General features: G+C 40.2%; 1 protein-coding gene across 1 annotated transcript in view, besides 1 other annotated feature; it reads right to left on the bottom strand.

Annotated features, from left to right (window-relative positions):
• Positions 1 to 19,077, bottom strand: part of THSD7B (thrombospondin type 1 domain containing 7B) — a 912,174-nt gene extending 893,097 nt beyond the window's left edge. The window contains exon 1 of the mRNA NM_001316349.2: positions 18,935 to 19,077. The gene's annotated coding sequence lies outside the window, so the exon portion shown is untranslated. The remainder of the gene's footprint in view (positions 1 to 18,934) is intronic.
• Positions 18,594 to 19,095: an enhancer, noted in NCBI's record as "H3K4me1 hESC enhancer chr2:137523097-137523598 (GRCh37/hg19 assembly coordinates)". NCBI's record gives its function as "activates a minimal SCP1, AML or CMV promoter by ChIP-STARR-seq in naive and primed H9 embryonic stem cells {active_cell/tissue: H9 hESC(naive and primed)}" and the evidence as "EXISTENCE:reporter gene assay evidence [ECO:0000049][PMID:30033119]".

Below are 25,116 nucleotides of genomic sequence, written 5' to 3'. Positions count from 1 at the left end.
TTGGAAATTTAAGACACATTTATTAAAATTGAATTTCATTTTATTTTATAATCCTTCATGAAGGAATAAATTCATCAATAATTTAACAGCCTTCTATTTGCACATTTTAAATTTTCTTTAACATATTTTACAAAAACAAAACAAAGAATGGAGCCTACAAAATAAATATCATCTTTGCAATAATCTAAGCCCTTTAATGTCTTACAAAAAAAAAATCTGTGCCTAGCCATTTCTGTATCAGAGAGCATTGTTGTTCTAAATGATAGAAGGAATGAACCAAATAAAAGGCAGCCCAAGTAGAAAGAATGTTCTCCATCTTGCAGAGTCTGTGCTCAAAATTGTTATTTGTAAAAGCTCCATTTTGATTACTTTTGTTTTGCCCTGAAGAATACTTTAATATTCAGCTAGAAATATAATTTATGAATGACAATATTGCCTACAAACTGCAAGAAAAATAAGACAGGGTAAAGGTGAGTCGTATCATATTGCTACTGTGATTTGAAACTAAAGAGAGACCACTCTTTAAAAAAGTATTTCACATGGTGACTCATTGGGAAACAGAAGTTTCCTCACGACACACATTCTTAGAACACACCCTCGGGTTCACTGGATCTATGTGGCCTATGCTTCACACTTTTAACATAAATAATCCATTCACCAGTAAGTTCTCTCAAGGAAACTCTAATTAAAGTCCTAACTGCCATGCATTTCTCTTACGAAATTGATGAAGAAGACTCTCACAAACTGATTCACAGGCAGCATTGACACCACTGATTAACTAACTTGTTGAAAAGGAGGTGATGAAACAGTGGGTCCTCACCAGTCATTTGCCTCAGGGCTCTCTACCTTACTCTTCCTCTCCTCTGTGAGGAGGGGAGCTGATTCCTGCAAATTACAATTCCCACACTCCCCTTCCAACTAACTTCTGATTATGGTCTTCCAACTGGAGGGCCTGGCAGGAGATTGCGGGTGGGAGGCCAGGAGAAGCTCTTAGCTTTTATAGCCTCTCTACCTCCCTTAGGACAGCATTTTCAGCAGTGCTGTGACTCCTTCAGGGTTCCAGGTCTCTCTTGGTGGCTCCAGTTCTGGGCTCTGCTAATTTCACCTCCTTCATTGGTCTCTCCTTTCTGCTGTAGCTAAGCTCTGAATTGTTTCACCATCTTCTGTTTGTATTTCAATTGTCAGAAACATCTTTTGAATGAGTACCCATCTTAAATTCCCTTTGGTTCAACGAGAACCACGTGGCATGTACTCTGTTTCCCAGCTCAATTCTGCCTGATATGAGAACCACATAGATAATTCATGAAGAAACCATCCCAAGATTTTGCTAGCTAGGTAGAATAACACACTAAGCCATAGTCAGCCTTTAACCCTTTTGCTCACAAGGTATACGGCAGGTATAAGGGTCCTGAGAAAACAAGATGAGAATGGACAAAAAGACTCATTCATTCATTTTTCAAATGCCAGGCAGTGTGCTGGATGATGAGGTTACAAACATGAGCAAAAGCAAACACAGTCTTCACAGTGTCTAATATAATGAAGAAGATGAGCATGCATGGAAAATCACGCTACTCAGCGTAAGTTTGCAACAGCGTACAGTCAGTTCTGCCTGGATGTTTGCTCTGAAATGTGAAATTCATATATTAGGGAACAATTTGAGCATAATGTGATCTTCCTCTGTTGAATGTTGTCATTCCTCTATTTTGTTTTTTCTTTTTTTTAATTAACAGATAATATTGCATGTTTTTATCATGTACAACATGATGCTTTGAAGTATATATACACACTGTGGAATGGTTCTATCTAGCTAATTAACACATGCATTAACTCACATAGTTATAATTTTTGTATTAAGAGCATGTAACATGCACACTCCAAGTTTTTCAAGAATACAATATATCGACACTAACTATAGTCACCTTGCTGTATAATAGATCACTTGAAAATTATTCCTAACTTTAATTATGTATCCTTTGACCAACATCTCCCCAACCCCCCAACCACCCCAGCCTCAGGTAACCACCATTCTACTCTCTACTTCTAGAGCATAACATAATTTCATCTTTGCTACGCAGCAATTTCATCTGGCAGAAGCACCAGGTGAACAAGCAAAAATCTGCACCCAGCTGACCACAGCCAAGTGGTTCAATGAAGGGAATTTAAGATGGGTACTCATTCAAAGGGTGTTTTTGACAATTGAAATGCAAACAAGAGATGGTGAAACAATTCAGAGCTTAGTTACAGCTAAGAAGGAGGAAAGAGAGACCAATGAAGGAGGTGGAATTAGCAGAGCCCAGAACTGGAGCCACCAAGAGAGACCTAGAACCCTGAGGGAGTTACAGCAAGGTAGTAATACACAAACGCAGCAGAAGCGCACACCTCTTCTGGCGTTACAACTTCCGCACACATCGCAGGTAAACCCTTTCTACCACGTCGCAACTCACAAGCTGCAGATTTTCCAAAGCCTACTTCCACAAGTACATTTCAGATCTTTTCCAAGGTAAAATACATTTACTGAAGTATTTAGGCATTTCTTAACCACTTTACACATGCAAAAACATACCAGCATTTTGTATTAGCTTCCTATCTTTTATTTTACGTGTCACTATGGAAGTTTTTTAATGCTGTGCCCTACCCCTTTTTCCCACAAGCCCTGTGGATTTTCATTCTGTAATTTTTGCATAGCATGATGATTTTCAAAAATGTATATGTCACATGTTAATCAAACAGCTACACTTTGAAGGAAAGGGTAATGGTGTTATTTCTCCACATCTAGGAGAGCAGAGTAGCAAAGGGTAGCGAGAGCCATGGCCACGGAGACAGGAGGCAGGGCATAGACAGAAGGAATCAGAGGAACGCCAGGGTGAAGTAGCTGGAGGACAGAGGGAGAGACAGGAATGTGGTTGCGGAGAAGGCCAGAGAGCTGAAGTGGTAGACATGGGCTGCATGGAGAGCCTATGCCAGGCACAGGAAGAGGGGAGGGGCCATAGTAGAGTAGCAGGAGGGAGCTGGACATATAGACAAGTATCCAATAGAACTGGTAAGTAGGCGGCCAGGCACAGTGGCTCACACCTGTAATTCCAGCACTTTGGGAGGCCGAGAAGGGCAGATCATCTGAGGTCAGGAGTTCAAGACCAGCCTGGCCAACATGGTGAAACCGTGTCTCTAAAAAAATTTAAAAAAAAAAAAATTAGCCGGGCATGGTGGTGTGCACCTGTGGTCCCAGCTACTCAGGAGGCTGAGGCAGGAGAATCTCTTGAGCTCAGGAGGTGGAGGTTACAGTGAGCCGAGATCAGGCCATTGCATTCCAGCCTGGGTGACACAGTGACTCCATCTCAAAAAAAAAAAAAAAAATAGAACTGGTAAGTAGTCAAAATACAAGGCCCCATTTTCCCAGTGATAAAATACAAATTAATTTGTGTTGGGCCAGCTTGCACAACGCCCCACCACCCCACTCCCCAACACATACTTAATTTTTGATAATGTATATTAAATTGAAAACATCTACATATTAAAATTTGTTATTAACCCTGTTACACAGGCATATTTAAAATCACATTATAAGAAATCATATTGTGATTTTGAAATATTGCTTTCACACATTGCATGAAGCATTTTACACATACTCTTTATATGCTTCTTCACATTCTTCACAGGCATTGGAGGCATCGGTGTTGGCCTTCACTACGGCTATCCACCCCCTTCTAATTATTTTACTCTTTAATTATGGGTGGAAGTGTGGGCCTGTTTTACACCTCTCTGTAACTTTGAGGAGCAGTAACAAACTGCTGCCTGGATTGTTCAGTGAAGAGCATAAAAAACAAGAAATGCCTTTGTATTTAAATGCACATCTAAAGAGATCAGATTTTGGATAAAGAAACTAAAAGTTCTGTTTAAACACTCTGTTCAAAAATTAAGTTTTTGAAAGAGAGCCCTATATATGAAAGACTTTGTCAGGTGATTCTCACTACTCTATAGAATAATTTAGGGAGGGGGAAGTTCCGTACATACAGTGAAAATGAAAAGTCAACATTAGACACTAAAGAGAGGTGATCATTAGGGAAAACTTGAATCTGCTCTCCTTGCATAAAGGAAATCAAATTCAACGAGATGGGAGGACAGAGATAGAAAGAGAAAATACAAATACATGCACACGCACACAGAGCTATTATCTGAATGTTTGTGTCTCACCAACATTCATATGTTGAACTCCTAACCTCCAAGGTAACAGTATTTGGAGTTAGGCCTTTTTGGAGGTGCTTAGGCTATGAGGGCACATGCACTCATGAATGGATGGATGCTGCTGTAAAAGGGCTGTGAGAGTGGGTTCTCTCTTCTACTCTTCTGCCATATGAGGACGCAATGTTCCTCCCTCCCCAGAGAACACAGCAATGAGGCACCATTCTTGGAACCAAAGGAACTTGCCAATGCCTTGATCTCGCACTTCCCAGCCATCAGAACTGTGAGAGAGTAAATTATTTATGAATTACCCATAATTCATAAATTATAAATTATTGTTATAGCAGCACAAAACAGCCTAAGACAGACAGACACAAACACACATAGACACACACACCCCCCTCAAAAAATCACCTCATCTGTGGTGGACAGCCAGTTTACAGCCTTAGCTAATACATCCCTTCAACTCTGGCCTTTAAATTTTACTGATTCGGACCAGACTCTTTCTCTTCCACAAGTTCTGTCCATGGTATTCTGAATACAGGACCTTTCTCAGCAGGCTGGACCTCAACTCCTCCATAGGACTAACCCTATTTGCGTCAATAACCAGTTTGTTTACATTTTTTCATAGGCTTATTGTAGACCAAATGGGTCTGTGCACATGCATATCTATTCCTATTTAGAGCAAAATCCCATGTATCACATGTTGAAAACCCCAGAAAATTTAAATAAACAGAATTTATAGTGCCATTCCATGGTAACTGATTTTCTTAGTGTTTTTGGGAATACTCCAAGTTCCCTAAGGAACTTTAAATCATCAAAGCAAGATTAACCTATGTTCAATGAAGTTTCCAAGATTTTTTTTCTTACTCTAATATGATTCATTTAAGAAACACTTAAATTAGCTCCTAATGTATATGCAGTAATGTGCTCAGCATAATGGAGACAATTCCAAATGTAATACAAGGTGTGGGACCTTAAAGCAGTTACAATACTCATAAGAAAAGAAAGGCTACAACATAAATTAAGCTACAATATAACAATATTTACACTAATGCCACACACCAACAAAGACACTTGTCTTTCTACTCTAATGTGCCCTGAGAAATTGGGTCATAAATTGGACATATTTCCCAAAGGAAAAACTTTATAAATATTATAAGTTGTTTTCCTGATCAAGGACTTGACATTAAAAAAGAATACACACACACACACACACACACACACACACACACACACACACATATATATATATAGCCTTTTAACACGTGTCCCCAAAAAGGGATAATAATTATGGAGAAATGATACAAGAAGATCCAATGTACTCAAGTTTACACACTTCATAAAAATAAAACTCTAATATAAACTGTAATATATTATAAACTTAATGCCAGCTCTGATAAACACAAGTATATCATTAACCATAGTTTTGCTTGACTTGTTGGATTTTAAAGTGTACTTTTGGGATGATTTTGATGGCCTGAGTCTCTTTTAAAAATGAGCTGATGCATTCTTTTTCTACAGATAAATCTCTCTGCAGTGCCCAAATTCCTCCCTTACCTTAGAGCTGACTTATAGGCCCAGGGAAGGAATTTAGTAAATGTCTGTTCCTAGTGCTTATAGAGGTATCAGTGCATCTCTTCTCTTTTAAAAAGACTGACCTAACATTTCTTCATTTCATTCTCTTCTATCTCTTGAACTTCCTTAAGGTGACGGTTTCTGACCAGATTTTTTTAATGAGGAAAAAGTAAATATGGAATAAACCTACTGTGTGTAAACAGATATCTAAGAATTTCATTGGGAAACCCCAGCAGCAATTATTAGATCGGTAACAGAGGAGTTTTTAAAAGATGCATCAAAATATTTCTCATAGAACTTTGGAGCCCCTGGCTTGTCTTTTGTGTGAATTCCTGGGTAGGACATTGATGGATTCATGGTTAAAGGCTGTGGAAGGCAGGCTCTACCATGAGGTGGAGAGTGTGGGGGTAGATATTCACCTCATTCAGCTATGACTGGGTGAACATGATACAGAGGGGGGCAGAAGGGACACCAAAGCTTGAACTGAGTCACGGGAGGGAGACGTGTACAGGATTTCTTTTAGGGACAAGTGTAGCTGCCACTGATGATCTATTGAAGGAAACTATAGAAGCAAATGGTTGAAAACTAAGTATGAGACCTCAGAGTGTAAGATTTTGAATGCCAGTCTAGACCATGTGGATCTAATGACAGAATTTGAGCAGGAAAGCAAGGTGAAGAAAGCAAATTAATCTAGTGCCATGAGGAGGGTGAAAGCAAATGTAGAACTATGCAGACAGAGGGTTGTAGGTGTTCTTGGAAAGATTATTTCCATGATAATTCCATCAACCAGAATATTCTATAAGTATGCCCTTCATTCTCTCCACACTCTGGATCCATAAACATTTGGTGCTTATAAGGACATTTGTGTCTGACTGCATGTTCATCTTTATGCATTCCTTTAACACTCTGCCACTTTCAACTTTTTGGCTTCAAAGTCCTCTAGGAAGAGGATTATGTCTGTGTATTAGGCAACATCTCCCCTCATGCCCTGCAGAGTTAACAGGGTTTCTTCCATAAAGCATTGTGATATTTTCTACTAATAAATTCTAATTAATTTTCCCTTTTACCTGTGTCTTTCTCTGTTTCCAAAACCTAAAATTCCAATTTTAACTTTATTTGGTAGCTATTCTTTTTGGCCAAGTATCATATATGTCAAACTTTTTCATTTTATGTTTAGTCCAAAATTACTCGTTTTCCTTGTCTAAATCTTCAGTAGTTATTTTGGCAGCTTTAAAAGAGAGAATCAAAATGGCAGGATCATGGGAACTTTGCCAGTCCGTTCTTGGCTCCTCTCATATACTAAGATTCTTCTTTTAATCACCACAATAAATAGAGACTGGAAAATGTCTTTTGGATTTGACAACTGGGAAGTAATTCATTACTTTGGCCAGAACTATTTCAGCAGGACCAGTGAGGGCAGAATACAGACTGGTGATTTGAAGAGTGAGTGCAAAGTGGAGACCTTGAGCAAATTCTACTAGTTTCAGAAGCTAGAATTTGAAAGGAGGGCAAGAGATGAGGCAGTAACTGGAAACAGGGTCAGGAGTAGTTGCTTTGTATTAAATGGGAAAGTTTTGGGCTCTCATGTACTATACATGAACTTCTGACAGTACATTATGAGTAACCTTCAATTTCACTACATCACCCACCGTTTCATTTCTTTCCCATTCGTTTTTGGTCTTGTTCATAAAGCTTCTCTAAATCCAAGAGAATGCATAATCTGATTGTGTTATTCAGATCTCTCTCACCTTTGCAACTGGTGAAACCTCTGGAGCCCTATATTTCTTTCCTTCTACCCCTTGTAATTATCTCATTTGTTGGTTTGAACAAATGATATTTCTGAACACATGTCGAGTCCCAACAGCTGAGAATGGTTTTTCCCTTTCAGTTGAATCGTTTGCCTCCTCTTCTCTCCTCTTTTCCTGTCATTTCTCATCTTAGAATCATTTTCCTATCATTCAAATATCTGTATGTTTTCTTTCTGGTTGTATGTGTGTGTGTGTGCATACGTGTGTGAGCGCACAAGTGTGTGCATGGGCTTGCATGCACACATGAATGCTCTACCATATTTCCATCAGCCTAGTTCCCCTTCCTAAGTCTTCACAGCATAAATTATTTCATACTATTTTGAACCTCTCTTGGCTTTCAGTTTTTGGGGATGAATAACTACTTTGCTATTTCAGGTGCTTTTATCTTGTAGGCATTTGCTGAACATCAATGCTTGCCAACCTTGTTGCCAAATCAATGGATAATTCTGTCCCTGTGTACATTTTTCTGCCACACACTGACACATGCCAGGACAAAATTGTTTATCTTAGATTATAAGGATTTGAGTCTCTCTTTATTTAGACTGTGCTGTGAGCATCACAGGTTTTCAAAACACAGAGTTTAAGAATGTTATCAAGTTCTAGGTGGACCAGTAAACCAGAGATAAACCTTCTGCCTGCATTGGGAGGCCATGGGAGGGCATTGTTATTGCCATTTTTTGTTTTTGTTGAATCTTAACCCCTAGGTTCCTTAACCCCAGACTTCAAAACACCATGAAATAAGATGTTATTAAAGATTAAAGAAAATATAAATACTTTGCATTTAAGACCAGCATATATAACCCAGAATCCAAACAATGCTGGGAAAATTGTGACAGAAACAAATAGGTAGACAGGGAGCCCAATTCCTTTCTTCCCATGCTGAATCTACTCACCTATAAAACCCCACAGATTCAATAATTACCCGTGAAGCATCCTTCTTTGTTCTCCTAACTCCATAAAAACTCTGTGAAAATTCCTTAAGAGCATGGCCAGTTCTTGGATATCATTGTGCACCTTGACTGGGCCAACCATAGTACATATATTTCACACTACAGGCAACCAGTACATAAAGATTGGCTGAATTTGCCTTGAGGAACCCAGTAGGCTGAGAAGAATTATGTTAATCTGTCAAAGTATAATAAACTCCTTGCCTGGAAATTGCTGAAGAAATGTCTTCTTGATGATCTGATGCCCCCACGGGTAATCGCCACTGTTCTGTAACTGGCTCAAATAGTTAAACTAGCAATGCAGCATATTCTATGCACTTAATGGGATACTTAAAGGGGCTTCACCTCTGCAGCTTATATAGCATTTCTAATTTTTAGCTGATTCCTTTTGCTCACAAATATTAAATGGTCCTCCTGGTATTGCTTAACACTATATTCTTCAAGAGTTATTGGGAGCCCTATGCAGGCATACGTGAATACACTTTTATCCTGCTCCACTTCCCACCTCCCATATGCATACTTCCAAAGATCACTTAGTGTGACTGAATGATAAGGTTCTTTATCCCCTGAACAAAATAATTTTTTATATTGAATGACTGTATGATTAAGGGTACATCTGAATAGAATCCTGGCATGTTGAAAAAAGATGTCCACATCCTTTACTCCTTTCAGATGAAAACCTTTTTCTAGTGCCTTGACTTGTTACAAGTCACCAATGGAGTGAGCAGAGCTGATCCAGTCACAGGAGTAGAAAAGGATTGAGACCAGACTTTGTCTTCATTATTTGAATTGCAAATTTTATATAGATGGTCCCACTGTAAATATGGCTTGACAGCTATATTTTAATTCACATGTGTAAATTCAATTAATGTACCCCTTTCATTTAATTCAATACATACCTGTTGAGTACATACCCTGCAAGGTGGCAACGATCCAAAAATGAGTAAGATGCCTTCTGTGCTTTTATGGAGCTCATACTTACTAAGAGAGATAGACATATATAAATAAAGTGATCTGGCTTTGCCAAGTACAGAGAATGTGCATGTCATATCTCCATAGGTAGACTGTAAATTCCTAGAAACTGGAACTGGCATTTTACTCTTGCGTGTATCTACTCTATGTCACGGACACAGCAGGTGCACAATAAATACTCTTTGAATTTATTCATATAGCTTACAAACAAATGCATCTTGGACTTTACATTCGTTTGTCTTGCTATTTGAAAACTGCTTAGCTATAAAAAAATAAAAATAAAAGAAGTGCTTCACTGGGAATATATTATGTCCACAAGCATTATGTTTTTATTCCACCAACTCTGTAATCCAACGGAAACATCTAATAATCATGCACATACTCTTACACGATATAGCCTTAGAGTCTGTCTCCACAAGGTAGTTCTTCTTTATGAAGTTTAGAATTTTTCTAACAGACGTCTTGTTCTTAATATTCTTTTTAAAAGTAACTGAAGTAAGATTTAAGCTACCTGTGAAATATGCATCCCCCCACCAAAAGAGACTTGGAATTATTAAAATGTTTCACATTGTCATGTACAGCTGAATAGAGGTTGCACTCACAAAGGAAACACAGGACTTTTTTTATATGTTGCACACAATGAAAGGAATGTCACATTCTGTTTTTTCAATTGAAGCATGTCACAGCCCAGAGGGTCTGTTACTATCAGAAATTCAACTTGAGAAAAGACCTTCAGATCACTGAGAAGAATGCTACCTACCAGGGAATGAATCAAATCTACCAAAAAATTACTACCATTTGATCAGAAATATCACCTTGGTGGGCTGCATGTCATCTCCAATTACAGTCATTATAATAAAGATACAGTAAAAGAGGGATGAGAAATATGCATTAAATGTAAATCAGAAACACTGGTTACTTAAAATCTTAGTTAAAGGTTACTTTTAGGCTATGCCCATTTCATGTGTATTAGGCTACACATACACACTAACAAACTAATCAAAATAAAAAAAGAAACTGGGATTATTAGGCTGGAAACAAGAAGGGTGAGGTGATTTCATACTATGTATGAAGAGTTGTAAAGTAGAAGCAAGCCAGACATGCCCCCTCTTCCAAAATGAAAGGTATGTGGGATTCAGTTTTTAGTAGATGAGAGTAATGAGATAGAGAGAAATCTTCCTATCTGATGGGTTTTTAATTTGTGCTCTTGAAAGCAGTCATGGAAGTGGTTTCTTTTTTTTTTTTTAAATAGATTATCCATGCCGGTATCTAAAGAAAACATTAATAAACAAATGAATGGTCTTACATACACAAAGACTACTATGTACAGTTAAAAGGAAACCCTCTACTATGTAGTCTGGTATGTACCGTTAAAAGGAAACCCTCTTCTGTCAATAGGCAGGCAGTAGGGTAGAGTCGTTAATAGTACAGATTCTAGGCATGTTCAATATGGTGGCCACCAGCCACATGTGGCTACTGAGCACTTGAAACATGGCTAAACTAAAATGTATGTGCTTGTAAGTGTAAAATACAGACTGGGTTTTAAAGATGTAATACAGCGAAGATCTAAAGCATCACATTAATAACTTTCATAATCACTACATATTGAAATGGCAATATTTTGTATACATTGGGTTAATAAGACATATTATTAAAATTAATTTCAATGTTTTCTTCTTTAATGTGGCTACTAAAAAATACAAGGTTGCATACATGAATTGTATTTGTGGCTCTTGTTCAATTTCTAAGGACCTGTACTGCTCTAGAAGGAGAATGCCTGCATGCACCTCCCGACTTGGCGCAAATCACTCACTATTTCTATATTTGTAAAATAAAAATAATAATAATACAATCAACCTCATAAGTTTTTTGAGAGGATTTCATAAGTTAATCCACGTAGAGTAGCGTCTGGCACACAGTATATGTTCAATAAATCTCATCTACTAATATTCAATGTGCACATCCTCTTTGCAAAGCACCCTGACATGTAGTTACTCATACTCTGCTTGAATACTCCCAAAGACGGGCAACTCACATTTCCCTGAGACAGCCGATCACACTTTTAGACAGCGCTGAATGTGAAAAAGCTCATTCCTGGAATGAGTAAAAATCTCTTTACAACTTTGACTTTTCTGAGCTTCTTCCTATATGATTCTGCCAGAGGCAAAGACAGAAACTGGTCAGATTCCAACAGTATATTTGTTTAGAAATAGTTACAAGACATTAGTATTGGAAATGAGTTTATTATACACTTCCATGAAAGTTCATGTCAAGAAAACTCATACTGAGCCATCAAAATACTTTCAAGAAACAGATCTTCAGAACTGTGACTTCTTACACATGCTCAACTAAAGAACAGTTCTTCTCTTCTCAGTAAGTTGTCCTCTTTGACCAAGAACAATTTCCAGTTGGGATATACTTAGAGCAAAGACAACAGACAAGAGCACTCACCTCACCAAATCACAAGAGTGACCCAGGCACCCACCAGCAACCCCCACTCACATCGAACAACTCATTTTCCCTTTTTTGTATTCATTATGCTAATTTCAAAAACTAATGCTTTGCATAGTTGGCAGGACAGTTCTGTTCTAATGATAAGCCATTAATACAAAGAAATATGGTGTGGATTTCCTAAATATGTCTGTCTTTTCTGAATTTTCCAATGGTTCCTCAGGAAGCCAACACTTTTATAAGTGAATGTATCTAGTTCTTTATGATTTTGAGATGATATAATCTTCATGCACAAGGTCTGTGCAAAATCAAAATGCAGCCTTTTTCCATATTTCCAAATGATGCTTCTACCTCCAGGTAGAAGTAATTCAGCAATATTCTTCCTGTCAGTCATCTCCATTGACTATAGAGGCCTTGGCAGTAGGTAAGTGTGTGTGTTCTTGCATTTTGGATAAATTCCAGCAGCGGTAAAGACTGAACCTGCTGAGTAAAACCTCGGGCTTTGGATAGTCTGGTTTATCAGAAGCAGAATAGGCCTTGCAGTCCAACAATCTGGGATACACATCTAGGCTCTGTGGTTTACCAGTTGCATTCACCTTAGACAAGGTACCAGAGGTCCCTCAGATTGTTTCCTATTACAAAAAAAAAGGGACTAAATAACAGTACCTACTTTGCAACATTATTATGAGGATTAGACAAACAAATTCTAATGTACCTAGCTAGGTATGCAGCAATTCATAGGTAATTAACTAATAGTAATAATTACTAGTCACACTTGTTGCCTACCTGGATATTGGTAAGCCTTACCTTACAGATCCTCAAATGGCTGTTATTACCCAGGCCCCTACTCTCCATCACACTCCCCTCTTCAACATTTTCCAGAATTCTCAGTAGAGAGTGGTGCCCTTCACCATTTAAATCCTTTACTATCAGAACTCCACACATAGATGCTAATAAGAAAATAGATTCAATCAAACATGAAAATTAGAATTTACCACCTGAGTTGTTCAGACTGAGAGAGGGCTTTGTGAATTGGCATCATCAGTGAAAGCTCAGTGGAAGTATAATTGGAACTGGATTTTGACTAATAGATATAATTTGGATAACTGGGACCACAGGAGTAGGGAAAGCAACATTTTTGGCCACTTTAAATAAGTGTGAGTCTTGTGGGTGACTTTAAAGAGATAGGTCTAAAAGAAGAAGAAAGTGGATAATAGGAAATTAACGACAGGCAAGAGTTAAATTGATGTAGTATCTGGAATCCTATTTTTTCTGTTCAAGAAATAAGCATAATTTAAGTTACGTTTTTCAGGGACCATCTAGCAGTGCTGGAGTTTAGTTTTAGCTAGAAGAGATCCAGAAGAAAGCACCAAAAAATTTTACTCAAAGTCATTAACATCCCTTGCCTCTCTGTGATTGGCCAGAAGATATTCCAGTTCATAGAATGGGTCAAGTCAGATGAAATGAAAGCCCTACTAACAATATTTAATCACAAAAGTGAATGGAAGTCAATATGAAATAAATTGAGTTAATTCTGAAGACTAGAAACAGAGATTGAAAAAAAATAATTACTTTTTCCCCAAAAGAAAGAAGCCTTGTTGAACTACTCCCACATACATACATTTTAATTAAGTGGTCTGAGACAGCTGTGAGGTAGAAGAATTTACAGTTGTGGCAGATGACCTGGGTGAGAAATTTGGCTCTTCCTCTTAACAGGAAGGAAGGAACTTAATATCCTTATTTTATATTTTCTAAGAAAACAAATTAAATTGAAGTTAGAGTGGCTTTATATGAATTGATAACTCAGATGAAAGGGGTTTTGATACCTTTGGGCTCCTAGATAATATAAAGATAACAATATTTAAGTGTTTTAACAGCCAGAAATATTAGACACAGAGAAAATTAAAATGTAAACATTTGATGTTCAACTACTTGATAATGCCAATGATTGCATTCATTCTTGTCACGAGTACAAATATCAAGGGATAATATTTAAAATATTTACCAGTTGGTAGGTCTGGGGCATAAGCCAATCAGAACAGCCTTAGGTAATATCACTGGAGTGTGTCCCAAGGCCTCTTTGCCATACCAGGTGGGTGACACCCAGTGGCTCTCTCAAGAAGTGATCTAAGGGGAGTGGTCTGTAGGACCAGGATGATAGTGGGACCTTCAGAGGGCTCAGAGCAATACTCATTGACCTACTGGAGCACATGTATTTCAATATTTTTACAAGTATTTCAATATTTTACAAATAGTTCAATATTTTTACCAGTAAGGCTGTATTCATGTGCCCTGTCTAACTTGCCCTGAATAAGTCTAACGTAAGCACAAAAGGCAAAAATCAATAGAGGAGAGCCCAGAAGCAAACTCTGCAAGAAGAGATTACTGCAAGCCTTAGTCTTATTATAATTAAAATCTTTCATGTATGCATACTACATGGTATGCTTTTTAAAATAACCATCTGAAAGAACTCAAAATTAAAATATGCATTGCTACAAAGCTGCAGTCTAAGACTAAGGCAATCGTGCCTAACTGCCACGAAGTTCAGAGCCTTACTCAACATTGTGATTTTTCCAGAAGTAATGAGCTGTTCGCTAACATAACACTAGGACACAAATCAGCAGCCAGCCCTCATGCAGGCAAGTGGAACACGGCCATGAGTTTCTTCCAAGTCAAGGCATTGAAAAATCGTTTGTGCATTAGTTACTTAGGATTCTGTTTTTAGCTATGGCATGTTTAATTACAAGAGGCTCATAATTAAAATATGCCCAGAAAGGCAAAATCAAAAGCGAGCATCATGTCCCTTGCTGCAAAACACCTAAGTTCAACAATGATAGCCTTTTTTATTCATGCAGGAAACATTTTCACACTTTCACAGATCTCCACATCTAGGTCAATGTCTAACCTTTTCTAGTAGGTGGACCTCTTCTTTTTAACGTCAAAAAATTCTACTGATTTCCACATCACAGCAAAGAGTTGTGTTTTTAGAATCCATAAATTGCAAAAATACCTAGTAACCAAAAATTAATATGAATTTAGCGATGCTTTTATACATACTGTGTTTTAGTCATCACAACAGTATATACACACTTAAAGTAGTTCTTATAGATGCCAGATGACTTCATTGTTCAGCTTACAAACCACGCTTAGATTCAACTCCTGTTACCAAAAGCATGAGTCCCTACCAGCAGTGAAACTATTCTACAGCATCTCTAGAGTTAGTTTCAAAGTTTTACCAAAAGATACGGAGTAATTGGGTTTCACTAATATCTGATTTTCCCTTTCAAATGAAATGCTTGATGTGGTAGCAACAAAATGATCATACTAAATCACCGGTGGACTATAACCTGGCAAAATAACTACGTCTCTATATTTTGTATAACTAGCCCATACCAGGATTCATGGCTTAGAATGAAAGCATAAATGTAGGAATTCAGTGGCTGGGATTCCTATTTCCTTTTGTCAAGAGATACTTACAAGATGACCAAAAACTACCTAATCCTCCTTGGCTTCATTTCAAAAATAGCCACTGTTAGCTCTCAAGAATAACCACCCATGAACATCCTACTAAAACGTCCACAAAATAATCTCGGTAGATGGAGAAGTTTTAAAGGGTGGGAATAGAATGCTTATCATCTTGGAGCACAGGTGCCTGTGATTTTAGATCTGTTAAACTACAGACCCCACTAAAATTCACAATAGTAAATTTCTAGACTAGAAGTGGAGTTAAAAATCCCTCTACTTTCACAGGTTTAACGTGCTAATTATCACTTAGATATTAATCTTGTTAACAGCTCTAAATTAAGGACCTGTGTTATATTTAGGAAGCTGCCTGGTGTTAAAGTTAATGAAGCAGCTTCTTTTATAGTTATATACTGGGAAACATTTTCTTTTGAAAATATGAAGCACTTATGTGCAATCCATATTCAAAAATCCAACAGCATATCTAAGTAACTCATGTAGTTTTTGATAATACAATACCCAATAGTTATTCAAAGACCCAGCCTTTATGCTTTGTCTGTAGAGCATCTCTGAAGCCTTAATAGTGCTATTCTTTTTTTCCCATCAACTAATATAGTTGTCACTACTTAGAATTCTTTAATCTGTTTGTCTTAATCATGTATTTAATATATTGTATCATTTGTCATTTTCACAGTTAACTAAATAAGACCAGTCAAATATTCTTCATCATTCTATTCAAACTTTTGACATAATGTTATTACTTTAATGCCTAATCTTTGTAAAGTGTGCAGAACAGCAGAATTGAAGTTTTGGCAAGACTTTTTTTCTTTAAAGGAATCATACAACTCCAGTTTCAATTTGTGAAGTATAATTAAAGTGAGTTGACATGCTTTAGAATTGTTCTTGTTTGGACATTCTCCCTCCTTTAACTTAGAGCCTATCTTTTTATTCTGCTTTTTCGGTCTATCATTTAAGGACAACATTCTTTTTGCTGATATTAACAAAAGAGTTATTCCTTCAGAAATAGGATCTGTAGCAAGCAGACAAGGTCCTTCATAGCCCTTCTGATGAAGTACAATTTAGTACCATTTTCCTTTCATTCCTTCCCTACTTTCTCTCAAAAGGCACACTCAGCAGAGAACAGAAAGGTACCTCTCGTTACCAATTTGTTAATGTCAGTCTTCAAACAGTAGAGTCTGTATTTACATTGTTTATATGATCGGTAATTATTTTCTACCTGTCTAACAGTGTTCCTCTTTCTTAGCCTTTCAACTCTCTAACAATCAACAACTTTGATGGAAAACAATGGGCCAGAAGATTAAGAAATATTGTAAGATCATTTCTCAAGTATTGATTTAAATATTAAGGTTGACATAAAGTGAGCTCATCGTATTATGAACCCTCAAAACAGACTATCAAAGTCCACCAACAGTAGACAGCCCTTTCCTGGACCACGTATCTCCAAGCCCTTATCACAGATTAATCTAGAATATCCAAAACCCTGAATGGTTTGTAGGTGTTCAGGGCTGCTGGATCTGTCTGTGCTGATTTATACGAGACTATCCGATGTTTTTAAAGTCAACAATGACACCTACAATTTTTTCAGAAGTATCTGTGTATATTGTTACAGTGTCAGAAGAATTTTCTTCATAATTTTTTTCACTTAAATTTGCATGAAAAAGAGTTTCTAACCCTCAACTCTCAGCAGGTAGATGAAGAAAACACACACACACAAATACACACAACACACACACACACACACACACACTTCCCAGGGATAGAAAATAAAACAATTCCAGGGAATCTACCAGATTAGATCAACTACCCTCAGAAAACAGAGAACTGGCCACATTACTTTTCAAAAGAAGACTCCTATTATTAATGGCACTAAGGTTTAAAAACAGCAGTCTGTCAAAGTGAAGCCTCAAGACAGAAACTTTATAAACAGCTTTTAACCCACAAAGACACGAGCTTTCACTCACCACTGAGTAAGACTTCTTGATTTGGTTAGTAACACCCTAAGTGGCTTTCAGGAAGCCTTCACCAACTGCTGAGTAGACAGTCAAGAGCACAAAAAGGCTTCCCTGGAGATTACCTCCTCCTAGTTACTCGAGAAACTCAGATTGCCCTGACACTGCCAGACAAATAACTGTATCCCTTTGACATCCAAAGATTACCTGTCAAAAGGAAACTCCAAACACACACGTTCACACGCACGCGCATGTATACACACACACACAAACACACACACACCCCACCACAGTCTGGTTGGCATGAGCCCTACCTGCATGGGTTACCATTTCCATGATAACAGAGCACTCACAGGTGTACCGCTGAGAAACACCAGGCAGACCGTCATTTAAAGAGCTCCAAGGAGTCTGAGGGTGGGAAACTGCCGGCTTTCAGCAGACCACCCTGGCAATGAACAGAGCGCCAAGGAACCCTGGTATCTTCCGTAGAATATGCCACGGTCCCATAATCTTAGTGGAACTTCACCTTGACTGTACAGTATTGAATCGCAATACCTCTTATGGGAAGCTCTGAGCTCAGACATTCCAAAAGAAAAAAGTACCACCTTCGCCAACGAAAGTTTTTTTCTTGTCTTTAAAAAGGGATAGAGTGAGAGAGCTTAACGCCCCCTCCTCAACATTCCCTCGTCCCCTGCAAAGTTTTCCAACTTCAAAATACGCGGTCACCAAAGAGCGGGGTTCATTTGCTTATTCAAATAACTTTAATACTATGGGACATGTAAGACAGCAAAGGGGACAGGTGCAGATGGGCGATGCAGTAGAAAATATGCCTGTCCCCCCCTCCCTGCCCCTCACTCTCAAGCCCCGTTCCCAGTTTCCTCTCCACAAACAGCAGGATATCACGTCCGAGCCCAGCTTGCCCCTAGCCACTCGCAGGGACAGGGGAAATGTAAACTGTTGCTACAGCCTCCTGACACTCCACCGATAAATCAGAGGAAGCTGCAAAACTTCTTGGCTTGCTCAGCTATCCTCCACTGGCACTGAACGCCTATGCACAGATTTCGCAGTCAGCGCTACGGGAAAGGAAACCCTCAGTCAACCTGTTTGCAAAGCCTGCAGAACAACTCCCGGCCTTTCGATTTTGGGCGCCGAGGCTCTCCGCGCAGGACGGGAAACCCCCGGTTTCCTTCATCAGTATCCCTCAAACCAAGCTGGAGGTGAAGGGAACAGAGCTCCTGCTGCCCGGGTCCCAAGGTTCGGTCCCGTTGCATGAGGTCGGTGCTCAGGTCGCCGCGTGGGGCGTCCCCGCCCGCCTAGAGGGTCTCCGCACACTGCGCCCCGGGCAGCCCACGCTTCCCGCAGCCCCAAGCCAGAGGCGTCCGAGAAGATCCGCTTCCAAGTTCCCGCGTCTGGCTGGGAGAAGGGGCGACGATGGCTGTCCGGCGAGGAAAGAGCAAAGTCTGCGCCGGCAGCGCGCCCCCTTCCCCGGCGCTGCCACCCCGCGCCCCAGTCGGCCGGCCAGGGGGCCCGGCATCCCCGACTCGGGGCTCCGCGTGCTTGCACTCACCCGTCTCGCCAGAGCCGCCGCCGTAACCTCTGGGAGCCGCTGAGCCCCGAGCTTCCCGAGCGCAAGAAAGATGGTGGTGTGTGTCGGAAGACCACCCATTCCAGCGTCTGGCAACCCGGCGGCGACTCTGGCTCCTCAGCACTGAAGGAGGAGGAGGAGGAAGAGAAGGAGGAGGAGGAAGAGAAGGAGGAGGAGGAGGAGGAGGAAGGAACGGCGCAGTCAGACGCCATCTGCTGTACACCTCTGCGCAGCCATTGGCTGCCTGGTGCGTCCGAGAGCCGCGGGGCGCGGGGCCGCGGGGAGCCACCTTGCGCCTCGCCTACCCCGGCAGCTGTTCCCCACCGCCCCCTCTTTCTCCCCCCTCTCCTCCGCCTCCTACCGCCTCTGCCGCGCACCCGCACGACCCTCGGCTCAGCCTGCTCCCCAAGGCGAGCGACCGCGGGCGCGCTGGCCTGGACCTCAGTTCCTCTGCTCCCCGCAACTGTTTGCCGCAACTTTGAAGCTTCGGGGTGCCGGTGCGGGCTGGGTAAGGGGACTCCCCAGCTGAGCTCAGCCCGGAGTACCCAAGCCACTGAGCCCAGGAGAGGGTCGAGCGCTTTGCGCCTCGGAGGTCCATGAAGTGATGGGGGAAGAGAGCAAGAAAGAGTGGGGGTGCCCTAGGCCCCTGTTGATAACGCGCCCCAACACGCACACATGCGCGACACTCCGACACACAGTAAAACACACACACCGAGCCATCCCGCAAGGTCCGGATGGTCTGGCGTTCCTCTGCAGTCCCCGGGCACGAGAGGGCTTCGGTGTTACTAGGAGAAAAGACAAAGAAAATCCTATCTGGGGAGTACCCCTAGCAGCATACGTGGGGGAGAGAGAAAGGGAAACATTGTGGTGACTCCGGGAAACGCCGGGAGCTGGGTGCATACCTGCCTGGACATCCCCCCTGTTGCGGGGCTCCCAGCGACTGTCAGCCCACGCCCACCAGAGCCTGGGAAAACCCCTAGCTCTGGGGCCTCTGTTTAAAGGATTTGCAGTCCCGGGGCGCGGGGACCGGAGTTGCGGGAAGGAGCGCCTTAGGCTCCTGGGTAGCTCATGCCGGAAGCAGCAAAGGAGGTGGAGAGTCCGAGTCAGCCCAGGTGAGGCAGGAGTGCAGACAGCGGAGAGCACGTGGGCAGTCGAGGAGCAGAGTCACAGCTCAGAAAGTCGTTTGCTTACTCTCTGACACTTGTTCCAAACCCTTCTGGTTTTTGACACCTTTGATCTAGGGAACTTCTTAAGCTTGTTCAGAGAGATGAAGTTGCTTCAAAAGGGAGAAGGGGCGGGGGGAAGCATGAGGACTACCTATTGCCAATTACAGGATATTTTGCCTGTCAAATCTCTTTAAATGTGTGAGCCCAGCGACAGCAGGGATTGTATCTTTTCTATTTTATCCAATGCCTGGCACACCATGGGTGCTTAAAATGAAGCAAAATAATAATGATAAAATTAAAGCTTGATGTCATAGAGCAAATTAGATTCAAGAGATAAATAGAGAAGCTAGGATCTGTCACAGATAAAAAGAAATCAAAAGAATGTAAGTGCCATTGTAAAGAAAGATGTGAATATATTGGTAAGGGGCTTCAACTCAGCTTGCTGTGGGATGATGGGTTCTGAAAGCAGGGAAGCCTTACTTAATATTTTAAACAGCAATCGCTATTCTCCCACTACAGTCACATTCTGGGTTATGCTTTTTTTTTTTCCTGACATCACTGTCTTAAAAATAAATCAGCTGCCAACCAGATCCCAGAATATTTTCTTAAATCCAAGACCATGATTTATTACTCTCAAGAGATAAAAGGCCAATCCTGTGACCCAGGGGAGAGAGAAACTGGTCCATTATGTTTTATTGTAATCTCAATATATACAGATCAATAGCCAATGAGTCTCATTTAAGTAACTTCAGGAACAACAGCCAAAGAAAAACATTTCTGTTTTCTTGAACTATTATACCCAGGCTTCCCAGGTTTCAGTTTTCCCAGAATCAATGCTGCATTTTCAGGCCACACCCCCTGCACACACACCCCCATATGGGAGAAAGACTTGTGTTTGCAATCTGTCTGGAAAAAAAGATATCAAGGATGACTTCTGAGTATGGCATGTATGGACATCTTAGTAGTTATTTGTCCCCCTCCCTCACCAGAGACAATGATACGTATATTTTCCTTTAGGCTGGCAATTTGCTTTCAACGTGCATTCTGATTTAATATGCCAGCCCATTCTCATTAACCCTTTGCTCTACGTCAGCAATCACTTACGATACCCAAGAATACTTTGATTCTTAAGACACAACTTTTCTCCTCTGAGGCATTGTTTGTGTTTGGTCTCCTGGTTTTTGAATCTAGGATATGAGATTATAGTCATATGGTAATTCTGTTGGGCTTCTTAAAATAAAAAAGGAGAATGAAATCTAAATTATTTTTGAAAAATAAAGAACCATGAATGTTAAACTTGTTACATTTGATTCCTTTAGAGAACAATCACTTTTCATTAAGGCACTGCTGACAACATATATTTCAGTATAGTCAAAGAGTATAAGATGTCTGAACTTTATCTGTGTGATTACATACAAATTTTGTAGACGGAGAATGCAAGCACAAGACTCATTCTAACTTTCTCTTTCCATTTCTAGCTCAAATTCCCAATTTATATTTTAAATGTATATTTTACTCATAATATGAGTTTCTTGCCAACATAGTTAGCTTTGGTTCTTAATAAAAACACTGCTCTCAAAATCTAGATTAGGTTAGAAACATTAAAAGGATAACCTAGGCAGGGAAAGGAATATTAGTAATGAAGACCGTAAGAGCAGGAACAGAAATTTTTAAAAATAAGTGAACAAAGAAAGGATTTGGAAGAAGGTAGGCTTGATTAAAAAAAAACAAAGGTGGCATCATTATGTGTAAGAAATAGTTGAATGTGCCAGGGTTGGAAAATAAGCTTGAGATTAGAAATTCCCATAATCCTGCACACACAGATGCCAAAGGCCCCAATCACCACCAGACTTCCAATGAGAATGAACAAAACAAAAATACAATGGCAGAAGAGAGGGGATAGAAGGAGAAAGTCTGTTGAGATTAGGTCTCCATTGGGAAGACCTAATGAGTCTTCCCATTAAGGAATCACGGAGAAAAGTAACCCTATGCTAGCCAAGTACAGGCAGAGTGTAAATTTACATTTTTGTTGTTGTCGTGTGTGTTTGCCACTGCTTTTTCTGAACATGATGTTCTCCATATAGTCTAACAAGCTTGGATGGGAAAGTGCTATGGAAATGAAATAAACAATCAGTGGCATTAAACAAGGAAGAGCTAAAGAAGGCACATAGATAAAGAAGCCCAATCTAAAACACAAGTGATAAATGCAAACATAAGCCAGTATCTTGGACTTGCCACCCAGGGAGTTGCTGCCCAGGTCTACAATGGCCCATCCACTGAAGCAGCGAATTGAGTCAAATATTCAGTCACTCTGGGGGACAAAATAGGAGGAAAGGGGGAAGAGAAAAAGAACCATGATTGTCTCATTTACACAATTCATTCAGGCCAGTTCCAGGTTGGAAGAGATTCTGTGGCAAATCTGAACATTTTTTCTGCCAAAAAAGAACATTTAATCCTGGCATATAAATGTAACTTTTGAGCTTGGTCCAGTAATTTGATTTTGATGTGTCAACATCTTAAAATACAATGTAAAGATAATGTATTGAAAAGTAGTGTAGTGGAACTCCACTGGCTTCTGGCCCAGTTCAGTCCCTCTGAGGCACCAATGCTTTCCCAGCAGACGCTCAACACTCACAAACGAAGTCCTGAACCATCAGCTTCAGTCATTCACTCAGCAACATATTTGATTAGTGTCTACTATGTGCCTGGCACTGCACTAGGTATTGGTTATTCAGTGATACAGAGTCCCTGCCCTCATGGCATTTATAGTCTAATGCAGTGACAATAAACAGGTATGCAAATGATCCTAAATATATAATATGAAAGAAAAGGAAAAGAGTCCTGCAATAAAAAAGGAATGCAATGGAGCAGGGGTAGAAAGGAAGGTCAGAACCAGGCAAGAGCTCTCAGAGGAAATGACATTTAGGCTGAGACCCAATCATGAATGAGAGGTAACATTTATGAAGATTTTTCTAGATATTAGGCAACAGGCTAAATGTTATATATATATATATATAATTTAATCCTCATAACTACCCCAAGATGTGGACACTATTTTCAACTCCATTTTACAGTGGAGGCATACAGAGTTTACGCAACTTATTCAAAGTCACACAGCTGATAAGTAGAAAAGCTAGGATTTGGCCAGGCAGTCTGGCACTAGTGTGTGCATTTTTAATCACCAAGATACACTGCATCTCATATAAGCAGGCATCAGCCAAGAAAGGGGAAGAAGAAGGATACATGGCCAAAGAGCCTATGGCTGGAAGAGGTTGGCACATGAAGAACCCATCGGGGGCCAAGGTAGCCGGAGATGAGTAAGCCTGGAAAAACTGCAGTGCAGTGGGATAGGAAAGGCAGGCAGGGGCAGAGGGGCAGGTGCTTGTGACCAATGGGTGGTTTTATCTCTTTGAACAATATCATCTAATTTAGACTTTAAAAAGATCACTTGATGCTGTGCCGCAACCAAGAAAATGGCAAGAGTGTAACAGGGATGCCAGTGTCCAGGGAAGAGATGGAAGTGGCTTAATGGAGAGAGAACCAGATGGTTTGATGAATATTTGGAAGGATCTTGGCTCTGTCTTCTTGTCATATAGCAGCATTGTGGAGAGGCTGGACAGTGATCAGCCCCATCCAGTCAGTTCTGGGACCCTTGCTTCTGATCCCTGTCCTAGAAGTCTGTACCACCCACTCTAATGCCCAGCATTATCTGGGTTCATTGTTTTGCTGCTCATCTCCAATAATATTGACTGACCAAGAGATCTATAGTACAATGATCCCTTCTTCCCCACTGCTATCTAACGTTACCAAACCAGAGCAAAGAAAGGAGAAGCAGTCATTCAATCCACACTAAACAAGCCGGCAACCTCCATATATCTAAGACACAACACCGACTAATGTGGAAATAATAAAACCCCTGGAGTGACAACTTGGATCACATTCATAATGACTTGGTTTGTAAAGACCAGGTGTTATGTAGATTGGAGCCTGTTATTATCCAAAGATTTGGCAACCTTAATCCTCTTCTGCTGGGCACAAAGCCACACGATACTCATAAGCCTAACTTTGATGAGATGGGCAAGAGGGCCCATGTCTTCTATTTCTCTGTCTTCTAAGGACACCAGCCTGACTGATGGACAGTAGGTCCCTTTATAGGATAGGAAGAATAGATAATATTGGAAAATGACTATTGTCAACAGATTGAAAGCTAGAGTGTTCATGAGTGAGGTATAAGGGGTGGAACAGATAAAAGAGCATCATTTTTTTTCATGTCTTAGTCATTTCAACTACAGGACCTAAGTATCTATAGGGAAAACCCCCAATACCTCTGATGTTTAAAAGAAAGCATATAAAATAAATCCCATAACTAAAGCTTTCTAGTATATTCTTAGATTCTGAATTATGCCATTTTCCTTGCTGCTACCTCATTGACTCTCCACATTTCTCTACATTATGCATTATCTTCCTGAAATACTCTGTCATATCACTTTGATTCCCAGGAACCCACTATTATCTTCATCTTGTCACTTTATGTGAGTCCCTTCAAAAATATCAGCTCCACAGAAAAGCTTTCTCTTACCTTCCCCTATAGAAAATATCTTCCTCCATCTCTCTATATCTCTTATCTGGTCTTCCTTTCCTTCACAGCCTTTATCACAATCTAAAATTTTGCTACATAGTTTTTCAATGATTATTATCTATCCTCTTATTAAGAATGTAAGCCCCATGAGGTCAGGAACTATACACACACAAACCCCCATACATACAACAGTGCCTGGCAAATGGCGGGGCCTCACTAAATGTTGAATGAATGGCATAAGTTAGTGTGTCCGGAATTGGTGGGTTCTTGGTCTCACTGACTTCAAGAATGAAGCCGCGGACCCTCGCGGTGAGTGTTACAGTTCTTAAAAGCGGTGGGTCCGGAGTTTGTTCCTTCTGATGTTCGGATGTGTTCAGAGTTTCTTCCTTCTGGTGGGTTCGTGGTCTCGCTGGCTCAGG

This window comes from Homo sapiens, chromosome 2 (assembly GCF_000001405.40).
Source record: "Homo sapiens chromosome 2, GRCh38.p14 Primary Assembly".
Lineage (NCBI taxonomy): Eukaryota > Metazoa > Chordata > Mammalia > Primates > Hominidae > Homo > Homo sapiens.
The sequence above is the reverse complement of the archived record's forward strand: the minus strand, read 5'-3'. Positions and strand labels throughout refer to the sequence as shown.